This window comes from Homo sapiens, chromosome 4, assembly GCF_000001405.40.
Source record: "Homo sapiens chromosome 4, GRCh38.p14 Primary Assembly".
Classification (NCBI taxonomy): Eukaryota; Metazoa; Chordata; class Mammalia; order Primates; family Hominidae; genus Homo; species Homo sapiens.
Window position 1 is genome coordinate 162,720,230 of NC_000004.12, and position 16,979 is coordinate 162,737,208.

Sequence of the window (16,979 nt, forward strand, 5' to 3'; positions counted from 1 at the left end):
CTAAGTGTATATTTTCATAAGCTTGGGTTAGGCAAAGTCTTCTTACACATCACACAGAAGCACAAGTAACAAAAAGAAACTAATTAGATTTTATCAAACTAAAAACTTTTGTTGGTCAAAGCACAATATCAAGAATGTAAAAATATATCCCACTGAATGAGAGAAAATATTCTCAAATCACTTACCTAATAAAGGATTGCACCAAGAGTACATAATGACCTCTTACAACCCAACAACAACAAAAAAAAACAAATTTTAAAATGGGTAAATGATCTCAAAAGAAATGTCTTAAAAGAAGATATAAAAATAAAAGAAGATATTAAAAAAAGCACCTGAAAAGAAACCCAGCACCATTAATCATTAGGAAAATACAAATCAAAACCACAATGATAGCATTTCTCACCCTCTAGGATGGCTATATTTAAAATGACAGATAAGATTAAGTGCTGACAAGTATGTGGAGAGTGTGAAAACTTCATCCGTTGTGGGAATTTAACATGATGCGATTGCCCTGGCAGCTCCCAAAATGTTAAACATACTGTTACCATATGACCAAGCAATTCCTAGATATATGCTCCAATGAAATGAAAACACACATCCTCATAAAGACTAGTACACAAATGTTCATAATAGACAACAAGTGGAAACCATCCACATGTCCATCTGCTGATGGATTAAAAAGTGTGCTATATCCATAAAATGGAATATTATTCAGCATTAAAAATGAATAAAGTATCAATACACGCAACAACATTGTTAAACCTTAAAAACACTATGCTAAGTAAAAGAAGCCATTCACAAAGAAGATATGTTGTATTATTCTATTTATATAAAATATCCAAAATAGTGAAATCTATAGAGACAAATTATTCTAATGGCTATCTAGATCTAAGGCTTGGAGGTTCTGGTTTCAGAACAGAGACAGGCTGGAAAGTGGCTGCTAATGAGTACAGGGTTTCTTTTAAAATGAGAAGTGTTGTAAAATGGATGGTGATGATGATTACACAACTGTGAACATATTAATATTAAAAACCAAATAACTGTTTATATGTATAGTATGTGAACTGTATCTCAATAAAGCTGTTAAAAATCAATCTAAATTAGACCATTAAGAAAAATAAATGGAGAAAAATTAAATGATCATATCTAGGGATCCAGAAAAGCCTTTGATAAAATTCAATCACCGTTAATTTGAGGAAAAATCTTTTAGCAAATTAAAAACTAAAACAATGGCCACAAAAAATCCTATGGTAAAATCCACAAAAAATTAAACATCAGGCTTAATTATGAAATACTGAATGAGCCAAATTATGAAATATTGAATGAGCCAAAGATATTCCTTTTACCAATTATATTCAACATAGTATTGGAGTTTTTAATATATGCCACAGGCCTACAGATGAAAATAAAAGACTTAAGGATGGGTAAAGAAGTAATAAAATTGTCATTATTTGCAGAGGATATTATTGTGCCTTTAGAAAATCAAAAAGAATCTGTGGAAAAACCATTAGAATTACTAAGTAAATTTAGCAAAATCTAAATAAAAGGTTGGCAAAGTGTAAATATATGAAAACAGGAGAATTTCTATGTAACTACAACAAATACATAGGAAATTTAAAACTAGAATTTCAATAGCACTGAAAACATCAAATATGTTGGGATATATTGAGTGAAAATATTTGAGAAATCTGTACTGAAAACTGCAAAACACTGTTGAGAAACCGTAAGTCTAGATACATGAAGGGATTATACTATGCTCATGAATAGGAAAAATCGTTACTAAGAAAACTGTCTCCAAAATTCCTCTATGGGTTAAATGAAAAATGTATAAAGAACTCATGTGAATCCAAAGGAAAAGGAAGAAAATCATTAGAATAACGGACAAAAGAATTACACAGGATGTCTGCAATAAAGCATATTCAAATGGACACTAAACAATTGAAAAGTTGCTCACCTTCCTTAGACTTTAGATATGAAAAACAAAATGACAGTGAAATACCACTATGTAAACTCCTCCAAAAATAGTTAATTTAAATAATTATGGAATAAACCAAAGTGTGGGCAAAAATTTGAGCTATTTAAACTCTCATATACTGTCAGAGTACAATTACTTTGATCATCTATCTAGCCATATCTAATAAAGTATAACATGCATACTTTATTACCCAGTAATTCCATTTGCAGATGTATAGCCAACTGAAATGCATATACACTTTCAACAGATAAACACGTCATATTAGAATGTTTATAGCAGAACAACTACTAATAGTACTAAATATTTAACTTCCCAGATGTCCACCAAAAATGGATATATAAACTAATATATTCACAGATCAGAATGTGATAGAGCAAGGAAATTATTAAAACTCCAACTTCCCGCATCAATATTGACGAAACTTGCAACAAAAATGTTGAATAATAAATGCTAGATACGAAAGAGATTATATTGTAAAAAGTTTAGAAATAGCTGAAACTACACTTTGGTGGCAAAAGTCATGCTAATGGTGACTCTTTTGGGAGAACAGAAACTGAAGGGCATGCTTCTAGGGTGATGAGAACATGGTTTATTATTCTATTATACTTACATGACCATGTACAGGTTTAAAAATTGATCAAGCTATACGACTTATTTGTACATTTTGTTCTATACCTGTTATTCCTCAATAAATACTTTATAAAGCAGGGATGGCAATGTGAATGAACACATATTTGGTTTGAAGAAATAAAAATATTGTGATGTGCCTAGAATATGAGAAGAATATTGTGAAGAGAGTGCATAAGGAGAATACTTTGCATAATCCAAACTATAAGAATCTGACAATTAAAAAAGGAAAAAAACAGCAAATGTCACTACATTTTATGAGTTTATGTCAAGTTCACTTCTCTATACTTCTGAAAATCCAACCTTAAAATCAAGCTAGTCAAACTTCCTATGTTTAGAGCCTCTTTTTCTATTCATTAATTCTCAAGGGTATTAAACAGTGACTGAGTAATGTTTGTACATTATTCCAGTAGCATGTAATGTAAATTAAGCAAGTCTACAAGGTGAGTTAGCTTTAAAAACACCTGTGTTCCTCCTAATGACTCAACACAGTTCAGAGAGGCATTCTCCTTTTGAATTCTTTGTACTGTATTTCCAAATGTTAAGATGAATTCTCTTATATTTAGAAGATGGAAACAAGATAGGAGTTGGCCTTTTAAAAAATCTTACACCTTGTTCTAATTCAGTGTATTGACTTGTTCTTAGTTGTTTATTCTGCTTTAAATATAGCACTAAAGACTTTTTTAAAATTAAGGAAAATATTTGTCCCTTGGGATTCATCTCATTTCCTTACTTAAAAATTTCATTATGATAAGATTCTTATGTTTATTTTGTTTTTTCATTCTCAATCATTTACTCTTCTTTTAATGGTCTTCATATAGTATGATAGCTTCTTGAATGCAACAACTTAAATTTTCATTTTAAAGAACAATGTAAGTTAAGATGTTTAGTTTAATTGTTAGAACATAATAAGAATTCCAAAATTTAGGAATAAAAATGATTGCAAAAGCACATCAATAAATGTACCTGATGAAAGAAACAGTCTCTGTCACGCATAAACTAAAAGAATAGAATTTGGGGAGTGAAATCTGATGATTTGCCAATCAATTAAAAGATCATTGCACTAGTTCACGACACCCATAAAAATTTACTCAACTACATATATGCAAATAAATCATCGCATTTAAATTCCAACACTTAATCCTGTTCCTGATATAAAGTACACAGAGGCAATTGCTTGATGCTTACTGATTAAATTGTAGTATCAAGGTTTTCAGAGCCTGTTCTTCTTGTGCCAAGCACTTCAATCTTTTCTGTTATCTTGTCTCTTTCTTAAACTTTAAGGATGAATAATCATGGTCCACCATATTAATAGAATAATAGCATTAATAGAATATCTATGAAGCAGAGCAAATCTATTCTCAAATATAAGATTTGTTGTCCAACTAAACTGATAAGCCTATGATGTCAAAATTACTTAGTAATCCATATTAATCTCAATAACATAGCTTCAGATGATATATCCAGGGAAGTTGTATTCTGAATTTGTTCCTTTAAAATTAAAATTGTTATTTATTCCTCATAAAAATTGAATAAATTATTGATTATGCTTTATCTTCGTTTTAAATAAATGTACATTTTGTCTTAACCACTTTGTTTTTGGCATCTATCATCACATTAATTACACTGTCATTACTTCTCATTTTTCTATACTTTCTTTCTCACATTGTTTCCTTCCATTGGAGCCCAGCCCCCATCTGTTTACCCTGATACACAGATTTCTATTCTGGAACACAACAGTATTCCTTATGCCTGCTGTTTTTCCTAGCAATTCATCCTTTCGTTCTAGGCATGAATGCCATTCTTAGTCCCAAAATGGTGAATGCTAAGATATCAGTAGTAGAGTGTGAGTTTTCATTCTTTTTTTCTCTTTACTTGCAGCAACAGGTTTGAATAGCCAGAGTTTCACAAGGTTCTTCTTATGACAAACATATATGACAAACATATGTATATTCTTGTTATGACAAACACTTGGAAACCAGAAATTAGCTAAGTAGTCTTTGATTGTGAATTAGACCAATGCAACTAGCCTTTACTTGACTGCCTATTTTATTTCATTCTCATGAGAAAAAACCAATAACTATTACATAAAAGTATTACTTTTCCTTGACATCATTATTTTAGATATAAAATTATCTTTTATGTGTTTAAAACTGTAGCATGAGATACATAGTAAAATATCAGCAAATAAAGCATTATGTACTCCTGTGTTATAATAAATTATGGCCCTCATTCTAAAAGGTGAAGGTACCTTAAAAGTACCTAATTTCAAAATACATTTTGTTAAGAAAAGGGCCTTTGACATGTGTTATAGTTTTTAAAATGGTGCTGCCATAGGTTTTCCCTAAAAGTAGCATTGACATATGCGCATACAAATAATATATATTTTTCTTATAATTAGGACAACAAGTTTATAATGCGAACGAATGAAATACTCTGTACAAAGTAAACCGATGTAAATTTGGGGCAATTAGTCATTGAGAATCTTTGTGTTCTTTAGTTGTCAAATTACAGATAATTTTTTAAAAACTTCAGCCCCAGCCTTTCACATATATATTCACTACTTATCAAGATGCAAATAGTGATAGCTCATTTTTTTCTGAAAACAATCTAATTGACCTTAAAGAAATTTTAAAAAAATCAGACTCATAGAAATGGCTGACTTTTCCAACTTAAAAGCATTGCCATCAAAGATAAAAAGCAAAAAAGATAATGCTATGTAAGAACTGGAAGCAAGGCTGCTGCTCTTGACTTCAAGGTTCATTTGCTTTTTCTTATTTTTTATTTTTTGACAGTCTCTTTGTGCCTCCTCAGGCTGGAGTGCAATGGCACGATCTTGGCCTACTGCAACCTCCACCTCCCAGGTTCAAGCAATTCTGCTGCTTCGGCCTCTTGAGTAGCTGGGATTACAGGCGTGCACCATCATGCCCGCCTAATTTTTGGATTTTTTTTTTTTTTTTTTTTTTTTTTGAGACGGAGTCTCGCTCTGTCGCCCAGGCTGGAGTGCAGTGGCGGGATCTCGGCTCACTGCAAGCTGCGCCTCCCGGGTTCACGCCATTCTCCTGCCTCAGCCTCCCAAGTAGCTGGGACTACAGGCGCCCGCCACTACGCCCGGCTAATTTTTTGTATTTTTAGTAGAGACGGGGTTTCACCGTTTTAGCTGGGATGGTCTCGATCTCCTGACCTCGTGATCCGCCCGCCTCGGCCTCCCAAAGTGCTGGGATTACAGGCGTGAGCCACCGCGCCCGGCCAATTTTTGTATTTTTTAGTAGAGACGGGGTTTCACCATGTTGGCCAGGCTGGTATCAAACTCCTGACCTTATGTGATCCACCCGCCTCAGCTTCCCAAAGTGCTGGGATTATAGGAATGAGCCACCACGCCCAGCCCATTTGCTTTTATATGTTAAGTTCTTTTCCAATATTAAAAACACTTGTTTAAAAGTTTGGCAAAACATTTCTTTGACTCTTAATTTATAACTATTTTTCGAAGGAGATTTTTGCATTAACAGAATTGTCTAAACATTTCCCGAATCTTCACAATATATTTTACTTAGAGGAAAAATCATTTCACCTAAATTTCTTCTTACTCAACACATTTAATCCAGATATAATAAACTGAATCTATGATAATAGATTAAAGAATGAATCTATTATAATCTCTAATTTAATCCAGTTTAATTTATTAAGCGTTTCATGAATGAATTACACTTGTTTCAGATTGTATCCTAATGACCCATTTTATCAGATTAGATAGTTCTCACAATACCTAGTAAAATAGACATTTATCTCTGAAAAAGCAATACTAATTCTGAACATCTTGGATAATACTTTCACCCTGTTCAAAATCTGTTTGGGATATATAAGCTATTTTGAAGAGACCAGAGACGTTGTACTATTCAAGACCTATAGGTATGACTAACCGGCTACAATTACTTATAATTGAAACTTATTTAGTTCAAGTGTATTTGGTGTTCTGAAAATTGTTGTGAGGTGTTTTTGAAGCACCTATGTTGTCTGGAGTATAAAGCCTGAGTTTGTCGTCATACACCATGAAAATTTAGGACTTAAGGAGTTTAGGAGCAGAGGGGTGTGTGTGTGTGTGTGTGTGTGTGTGTATGTGTGTTTGAGATGGAGTCTCACTCTGTCACTCAGGCTGGAATGGAGTGGCGCGATCTCAGGTCACTGCAACCGCCACCTCCCCGGTTAAAGTGATTCTCCTTCCTCAGCCTCCCAAGTAACTGGGACTACAGGCACACCCACCACGCCCAGCTTTTTTTTTTTTTTTTTTTTTTTTTTTTGTATTTTTAGTAGAGACAGGGTTTCATCATGTTGGCCAAGATGGTCTCAATCTCTTGACCTCATGATCCCCCCCACCTGGGCCTCCCCAAGTGTTGGGATTACAGGTGTGAGCCACCACGCCCGCTGGAGCAGAGGTTTACTTGGTAGAAGAGAAAGAGAAACAGCTCCCTCTATAGAGGAAGGAGTCTCTGACTGGAAAGGACTGGCTGGTTGCCAGTGCGCTGAGTTTTATAGTCCAGTTTGAGGGGGTGGTGTCTCATTTACATAGGGCTGACAGATTGGTTTGATCAGATATGATGGTTAAGTAGTGCATGGGAAAGGCTGGTCGCCCCACCCTAATGTTCTTACGCAAATAGGCTTTCCAGATGATCTGAGCCATCTTATCTGCTCCTTACAATACACGTGGCTGGCAGAGAAGGGAAGATGGAGCCGCCAGTTTGAAAATGTCTAGTCCTTAGTTCCTACTGGCATTCGCCATGCAAGCTCCCTGCTTGTAGGCTGCTCTTTGTTAGAAAATGATTTGGGGCTGCTTTTCATTAAAAGGAAAAGTCTTACCGATGACTCCCATGCCCTTGCTACCTGCCTCAGTAATTCCTTCTTAACTCCTGTATCATTTTTGCACATTATGAGATATACATGTTAGCTAAAACATTCATGTAGACATTATTTTCTAGCATACAAGCTATAACAAAATTCAATTAAAATGAAGCATTCTCAAATGCTTTGAAATGTGAACTCACATTCACTTGCTTATGTACTAATGAATTTTATAATATTGTTCTAACTGTGCAGATTGAGAACAGTTCAATGTAATTGAAATCTGTATCCCCAGAGTCTGGATAATCACTTGCTCTAACAGCAGTTGGCTGGTTGTTTTTTTCTTTTGTAGTTGAAGCCAGCCAACTTTAGGCTCTCTTAAAATAAAATGTTTAAAGTAGGTCACAGTTTTCTGATTCTTCCTGTTGCTAAGGTTATAATTCATATTAGAATATTGTTTAAAAAAGAGGCCATTTAAATCAACTATTTCCTGAGCATTTTGCTTGAATATAATAATCTTTATGAAACCCATGATTTAAAGCTGTTGTTTAGCCAAGGTCACGATGGTGATGTCATGCCTCTTGTTGTCCAGGTGAAGCAGCTTATAATGAGCCTAAGACTGTCCTCTCCTTGGAGAACATCGCAAAAACAAGCATGGACCCTTTCTTCTTACATACATTATGAAATAATGTAAATATGTTTCCTGGCCATAGAAAAGAAAAGTTTTGTATTGGTCTTTTATCAATAAATTATATAAGATGGTAAAATATAAAACTTAAATAGAGCTAATTGTTTCATTTACACAGCGTTTCTTTAAATTACTTGATTATAAGAATAAGTTCGGACTTTTGTTTAAAATGCACCTCCCCAGACACCTCCAATCTTTAGAGTGTCTGGTAAATGGTCTATAAATTTGTATTTTTAATAAATAGCCCTAGCTGATCCCAATCATCAGTGGTTTAATGGAAATTCTGCATTAAGGATCAAATAAACCACAACAATCTGGTGAAAATGCAAACAACAAAGCTGAAGCCAGTACAACTCAGGTAAATTGAATTATTCATTACGTATGTAATTTTTGGAAAACAATATGAAGAAGAGAATTATAAGCCAAGATCCCTAGGCAGGAATCCTGGGTTGAGAGGAGGGGTATCTCAGTTCATTTGGGCTGTTATAACAAAATAACACAAACTGGGTGGGTTATGACCGACAGAAACTTATTGCTCACAGTACTAGAGGCTGAGAGGTCCAAGATGAAGGAGCCAGAAGATTCCATCTGGTGAGGCAGCTGTCTCTTACCATATCTTCTCAAGTTGGTAAGGACAAACAAGCTCTCTTAGGCCTTTACATAAGGGCACTAATCCCATCCATGAGGATTCCATCCTCATGACCAAATCACCTTCCAAAGGCATCTCCTTCCAAACACTTCACCTTGGGGTTAAGATTTCAGCATATGAATTTTGGAGAACCGGGTCTCGCTCTGTTGCCCAGGCTGGAGTGCAGTGGCACCATCTTTGCTCACTGCAACGTTTGCCTCCCAGGCTCAAGCGATTCCCCTGCCTCAGCCTCCCGAGTAGCTGGGATCCCACCTCAGTTTCTCAATATGCTAGGATTACAGGCATGAGCCACCGCACCCTGCTGGGGATGTTACCAGTGTATAGAAAATTTTGAAAGCTCTCCAGGTGATTCCAACGTGCAGCCAGTGTTAACTCTTATTTTAAAGACTACAGGGGGAGAGCTACATTTAGTGTGAACTAAATTCAACTTCAATATCATGTGGATTGAGAAAAACTGGTAAACTTCACTTTCCTTTCTGGATCATTGCACTAAGCTATAAGCCCTACAGTTAAAAGTTAATTGTAGTAATCATATTTTTAGAGTTTGATCTGAATATCTAAATAGCATTATAAACTCTATTATTAATTTAAATATTTTTCTATGTAATTTGAAGTTTTTTTGTAGATAAGTATAACTGCTAATAATGACAATTGAGTTTCTTCCCTTTAAATACTTATTATTTTCATCTGTTTATTTTCATTACCAGCATAGCTAAGACCTTCAAACCTTCAAACTCAACATTTTCTGTAAATTGGTTCCTGATTTTGACAGGACCACTTCTAATGTTTCATATTAAGATTTATGCTTGCTGTAGGTTTTTGATAGATTCACATTATCAGATTAAAGAAATCTCCTTTTATTCCTAATTTGCCAAAAATTATAATAATCTCCTGATGCTTATAGTTATATGATCTTGATGTTTATTGCATCATTATTTATCATTTTCTTAATTTTATTTTTATTTACTTTCATTATTCTCATTGTTTGAATTTATTATTTTCCTAATTCAGTTAGAACCATATTTTGCTAATTTTCATCTTTTTGTTTGCTTATTATAAACATCTGTGACTATTAAATTTCCTTCACGTATTATATCCACAATGTTTACCTTAATATTTTCCTTTTCTATTTGACCAACAAATAATTTTAAAATCTAATTTAAATAATTGACGACATATAATATTAGTTTTTCTTTCCTTTTTGACCTTAATTTTCATTAAGAAAAATTTCAAATATATAATAAGAAGAGAAATAGTAAACCCCTATGTACCCAATAATGAATTGAAACAGCTAATAATTTAAGGTCATATTTTCTTCTTTTACTCCAATTACTCTCACCTCACAACCTCACTCATATACTGTATTTTAAAATATTTATCATTTATCTCAAAGATAAAGCAAAAGCATACATCATTTTTTGTAATCTATACTTGCTTCAGTATATATATAGCTAAAGTAAAAGTTAGCAATTATCACCTAATGTTATCAAATATTCAATTACTTTCAAATTTCTCTGATTTTCAGTTTTTCAATTGAGAATCAAAACATGGCCTACACTTTGCATTTGGGATTATACACATATAGATTATATTTTATATTATAGATTATAATATAGATTATATTACACTTTAGATTATAGATTACATTTTGGAGTATACATTATATATTATGTATTTTATGTTTTAAAGTATTTATCATTTATCTCCAAGATAAAGCAAAAGCATACATCATACTTTCTAATCTGTTGCTGCTTCAGTACGTATCTAGCTAAAATAAAAGTAATTACCACCTAATCTTATCAAATATTCATTTACTTTCAAATTTCTCTGATTTTCAGTTGTTCAATTCAGAATCAAAACAAGGGTCCACACTTTGTATTTGATTAATATGGTAATTAAGTCTATATGTTTGATCTATATGTTTCATGTGGCTTAAAAAAATACAAAAAAGTACTTTTTGAAGAAAAACTATTTGTTTAAAAAGTGGATTGTTTTGTAAGGTTTTCCATATTATCAATTTTGTAAATTGCACCCAAAGGTGCCCCTTTCCTATGTTCTATATTTCCTCTACACTTACAGAGAGATCAAATCTAGGTTTGATTTTTTAAAAGAGTACTACTTATTGATAGGTAATGCCACATACATCTTAAAGGCATCACATCAAACGTGCTTCTGGTTGTCTCTTTCGAGGTAATATTAATACTGACTCAGGTGTTATCACCCTTTTCCTTTCAATATAAAATTTCCCAGCAACCTTTCACATAAAAGGCAGCCCTTGAAGATCATTGCCTCAATTTACTATTTCATTACGGTTTACAAACTGATGATATTCCAACTCTATTAACCTTTCTGCATTTATTTTCTGAAATTCTTCTGTAAATAGTAACATTTCCTTATAACCTATTAGGTTACTGTAATTCATAGATCTAGTGGGAAAGGTTAAATAAATATTTGATGCTTTTTCTTAGCAGTTTTCAGAATAATAATGAGGTGGTTTGTAAGCAAATCCAAATGTGAACAGCTTTGTTAGAATGTTTTTGTTTACTATCATTAATAACTCATAGATTTTAACATATTTGTTACCTTTCACTCGACTGTAGTTTTTATTCTTTCCATTGTTTAAATTAGCCCATATTTTGCTCATGGGAGCCCCTTCAGTATGGCTCAAATATCTTTTTATATGACCCCATAAGTACTTACTTTTTGTCTTTTTGTACTTCAGACTCATCTTGCATTTCGTATTTCAGATTGAAGTTACATATTGCTGCTGTCTGCTCCTTTTTAGTGAAAAATGGCATATACAGGACACTGTATGAGAACATAGGGATGCTCATTATTACTGGGTGATCATTTTTCTTAGACCTATTTAGAGAAAATACATTACATTCACTGATATTGCTAATTCAAATTTAAAATGATGGTATTTTTACTAAGTTTTTGTTTCTTCTACACCTATGTTATGGTTCCCAATAACTTTAATGTAAATACTTGTTTGTTTTATCCACATATCATTTTATATTGGTATTTGAAATACATTGTATATTATTTTAAAAACTACATCATATTTTATTTTGTATGTAATATGTACAATTGAAAAGAGTGATTCCAGTATTATTACTAATAATAGTATTGAAAACAGATTAATGATTTTTGGTTTTTTGTTGTTGTTTTTTTTTTTTTTGAGACAGTGTCTCACTCTGTTGCCCAGGCTATAGTGCAGTGGCACAATCTCAGCTCACTGCAGGCTCTGCCTCCCAGGTTCACACCATTCTCCTGCCTCAGCCTCCCGAGTAGCTGGGACTACAGGTGCCTGCCACCACGTCCGGCTAATGTTTTGTATTTTTAGTAGAGATGGGGTTTCACCATGTTAGCCAGGATGGTCTCGATCTCCTGAGCTCTTGATCTGCCTGCCTGGGCCTCCCAAAGTGCTGGGATTACAGGTGTGAGCCACCACGCCCGGCCAATGTTTGTTTTTTTTTAACCTTAAGATATATTCTACTGTCTATGCTGCATATATTGCTGTGTCTTAAAGCCACTTGAAATGATTCTTTTCTATAGCATTAGACCATAACATATTAATCATAGTTAATCTTAAATTCTGACAGTCTTGGCATGTAGGTCAAATCTGAGTCTGGTTCTGTGGATTGCTTTTCTCTTGACAATTAGTAGTTTTCTCATGTGTTTTGGTGTGTCATAGTTTTCATTAAATAATGAGCACCACCTACACATTAATAGTAGAGATTGAAGTAATTTCAACGCACACCTCTTTTTATGTCAGATTGCAAATAGGTGTGGTTGAAGCAATTGAATGAGTTGAGCTGGGCTTGGTGCACCACAGACTTCCAATTACTCAAGATGAAATGCTGCTACTTGGTGTTTAGTGTGAGTCTTAAATAATCTGAGCGTTTCTATCAGTGTTTTTGCTGCACCCTCAGCTTTTGCTGAGGCCCTGCACCTGTATGACACAGATGCAGAAGTTAGACATAACCCAGGAAATCAGCGGCTGTTGTTTGTTACTTAACTCAAAGCTCATGATTAGGAGCAGATGGGGTTGCGCAGCTCTGCGCCAGCCACAGTCTTAGGGAGGCCATTTGTGCTTTTGGCTCAAGGGAGGGGCTTTCTCAGCGTTTCTGACACTTTCCCATGGTGGCTGAAATCTGCTTTGAGCCAGAGGAGTGTTTTGGGGAGCGCTCTGGTGTTGGAGCAAGTTTCCTGTCCCTTCTCTTGGCTGTAGCTGATCTCTGCTTCATGTTGGTGCAGAATTCTTGGTATGCAAAGGCTCTTTACCCTTTCCACATCAGCAGATGGCTGTGTTGGCTTTTATAATTTCTATTTTAAACACTGGATACAGTGACCTTATTGTTTTTCTGTTTGTGGATCCCAATGTCATCTTTGTTGTTTTGCTCACACTCTTAGGGTGCCTTGTTACATCACGTGTTCATAATTTTTATTGATAGTTCATATTTTGTTAAACATAATCTGTGGGAATTCTGAAGATATAAATTATGTGTGCCTTCAATCAGAAAGTATTTCTACTTGGTTCTGATGGGGAGTAAACTGTGCTATAGATCCAGAATGATTTAATCTCTTTCAAGGAGCCCGTCTCATCTTGGGAGATGCACCTTCCCATATAGCTACAAGCCATTGTATGCCCCTAAGATAACTGAATTTAATGTTTGCTTAAAACTCACTATTCTGTTTCAGCTGTATACATTATACTTTTCGTCAGTTTTATTTTCTTGTCTATGCATATTTTCCTTAAAATGTTAATATATCAAAAAGATGATAAGTGAATGAGTTACAATTCAGGCAGATGATAGTTCTCACGTTTATGTTTTTAGATGTATTAATTCTTTTCCTTCTTGTAGCAACTCTGTGAGATTTTGAACTTTATTTTCAATATAAATAAATGCAGGATCTAAGAGTTTAAGTAGGTAAATTGATCTGAACTTATAGGACAAATAAGTTGATAGTAAATCCAGCTCTTTTCTCAACAAGTTACTTTTTTTTTAACTAACAAATGATAAATACTTTTCTTTTCTTTTGGCATCTTTTCCCTAGGCAGACTGATTCTTGAGTCTGATTACTAAGGATGGGCACTTTCTGAAATGCTGGCAGGCTTAATGAAATGATGTGCTGTAATATCATTTTATTCAAACAGAGAGAAAACGTATTATGATAAATGTATTAAGCATATATATATTTGTAAATATTTGGGCCATATACTATTTCTCTAATGGAATATGGCTAATAAGAGGAAATCTTCACTTCCTTGTTAAAATTTCCTACTTTAGATCTTTGCAATATTTTCTGAAATTTATTTCTCTGTATCAGATTCTTCTAGTAATATGAGCTTTACTTCATATTCATACATGAATAAAATATTCTCATTATACCTCACAAAACATTATGAGGGCCTAATAATATAAAATAGGTATTGGCTACATTGTTAAAAATATTTGTATGCATGAGATAATAGTACTATAATAATTAGTTTCATGTTCATGCAGCAACATATTCCAAAAATTATAATGGCTTAAGCAATATGGAAGTTTCTCTCTCTTTCATGTAAAAGAAGCCTGGAGATAACCAGTTTAGTGGAGGTGTTATGCTCCACAGCTGAGGGAGTTGGGCTTTTTCTGCTGCATTTTTCCACCATCCTAAGGTTTGCTTTCAATTTTCAAGGTCATCTAACTGTGCTAAATGGCTGCCAGAGTTCTAATTATCATGTTTTCATTTCCAACAGCAGAAACAGAAGAGAAGGAGAAAAAGGGGTGGGAGATTGAATACACTAGCAGTCTTTTAAGAGAGGTTTCCTGAAAACCCCATGCAACTTCCCTTATGGCTCACTGGCCAGATATTAGTCAAATGGATACCTCCAGTGGCAATGGGATTTGTGAAAGGCAGTATTTACTCTAAACAGTTAAAATATAGAATTATGTAAAAAGAAGGCAAAAATGCACATTGGGCTAGTCAGCTAGCATTCCCTGCAAAAAAAAAAAAAAAGTTAGGCATCTATAAACATAACACACGATTACTTTATTTCACTTTAATTTTTACAAAAATCATTCAAGATTCAAATAATCTGTTACTTAATTCTTTAAGAACCCCATAGAGCAGAAAGAAATTTCTCTACCCTTGGTTTTTGCTTAGGATATATATTACAAAACTCAGGCTCAGAGATTGTATGAGATGCCTAAGATAATATTGTTTTTAAAGGCAGAATTACATGCTCTTTCTCGAGGGATATAAGTAAAGAACACTACATTAAGTGTCACAAATCTGAGATTTTTAAAATTTTTTTCCCTGTAACCTTATACCTCTCTGAGCTTCAATACTTTCAGCTAAATATAAGCACTCTAATTCTTAGAGTTATGAATTGCAAATGAGAAAATGCAAGAAAAATGCCGTGACAGCAAGGGAGTGCTGAAAACCAATATGCAACAGAATAGTAGGATCCATCCATCTGTTACAAGTTATTAAAATAATTAATATACAAGAAATATTGTGCACATATTGTCTAAAGCATTGCTAACAATTGATAAATATTTGTTAAAAATTAAAAGTGAATATTTGTAATATATATGATATTTTGTTTTTATCAATGCACTTTTCTCTGCATTTTCAGGTACATGAACAATGTACCTGAATGGATGCCTTAGGCATCCATTATCTTAGTGTTGTGGATAGGTGGGGAAATTCAGTTTGCTAAGGTAACTGGAAAGCAAAGGGAATAAGTTAAAATTAAGCTTCTAAATTAAAAAATAATACTTTTCAGAATTATCAGAATTTCTTTGGAGTAGAAAATTTCTGTAAATGTACTTCTCATTTTATGTAGTTACAGCTAGTCGAGTTACTAGTCCACAGAGTTTTTCCATAGTATAGTTAGGATATCAGTTTCTGTGAGGACTCTTAGCCAATAAAGCTTGTTATACTAAGATGGAAGGGCTCTTGTGTAGAGAAATTTAAGAACTTGAAATGCTCACCTTCCAGTAGGAGGTATAGGAAACTGTGTTCAGATGTTTGTCCAGATCTTTGTCTCAGACCCACTCATAATCTGGGTGGGCACAATCTAATCAGCTGCCAGTGTGGCTAGAATATAAGCAGGCAGAAAAATGTGAAAAGAGAGACTGGCCTAGCCCCCTGGCCTACATCTTTTTCCCATGCTGGATGATTCCTGTCCTCGAACAATGGACTCCAGGTTCTTCAGTTCTGGGACTGGAACTGGCTCTCCTTACTCCGCAGCTTGCAGACAGCCTATTGTGGGTCCATGTTATTGTGTAAGTTAATACTTAATATTAACTCCCCTTTATATATATTTATATATACTAGTTAGTTCTGTCCCTCTAGAGAACTTTGACTAACACAGTCATGTATCTGCATATGTATTTATATATATATATGTGTGTTTGCACTAATATGAACTGACATTTGATCTTTTTATATGTGCATTTTTATGTTTAAAAATAAGAGAATTGAAAGGTCATTATAACAGGTAATAGTGTCACAGAGATAAGGGTGTGCTCACTACAAAAACAAAAACGAAAAACGTGGTTTTTTTCTTTGTAACACTGATGAAATTCTTTGCAAACTTTTCTGTGTAGTCACAATTAATAATCTTAGAAAATTCCATTATCTGCTGAGAAAAATACTCTCAGAAGACTCTGACAAACCTAAACTTTCAAGATAAATAGGGATGAATACCCCAGCATTTTTCATGGGCAGCATTCATATCTAAAATAAAAAGAGAATACAGTTTATGCAAATATTTATTATTTAGTTATTACATAATGCCATAGAGGCATTGAATGGATGGAAAGAGAAAAACAGAAAGCATTTTAACAGTTTGAGAGCTCATGGACCATTCTACCCTTCCTAGTATAGAGAAATATCCAGCTTTTTTTCCTAAAAAAAAAAGCCTTATGCCAATATGTCTGAATAATATTTCATTTAACCTTGAGGTCCTCTGCTCCTCCAGTGGATCCCTTTCTAAAGACCAGCATATTAAATATAAATTATGAAACTTGGAACATACAGATTTATACTATAGGAACTTATTTTCAACTTTATAGCCTCTTTATATCTTAGATAAATGTCCTATCCTGAAAGACACATTATGGCTATTTCCTTCAAATCCTTGCACTTTTCTACATTTCTTTATTCCACCCTCTGTTCTTAAAGCAATCATGTTCTTAAAGCAATCG

The 16,979-nt window shown here is 33.8% G+C and overlaps 1 long non-coding RNA gene across 1 annotated transcript in view; it reads right to left on the reverse strand.

The window, feature by feature from the left end:
• The window catches only part of LOC105377516 (uncharacterized), a 30,448-nt gene extending 14,463 nt beyond the window's left edge, over positions 1 to 15,985 (reverse strand). The window contains exons 1-2 of the long non-coding RNA XR_939412.3: positions 15,762 to 15,985; positions 11,476 to 11,583 (exon numbers count right to left, since the gene is read on the reverse strand). This is a non-coding gene — a long non-coding RNA (uncharacterized LOC105377516). The remainder of the gene's footprint in view (positions 1 to 11,475; positions 11,584 to 15,761) is intronic.
• Positions 15,986 to 16,979: the final 994 nt, after the last annotated feature.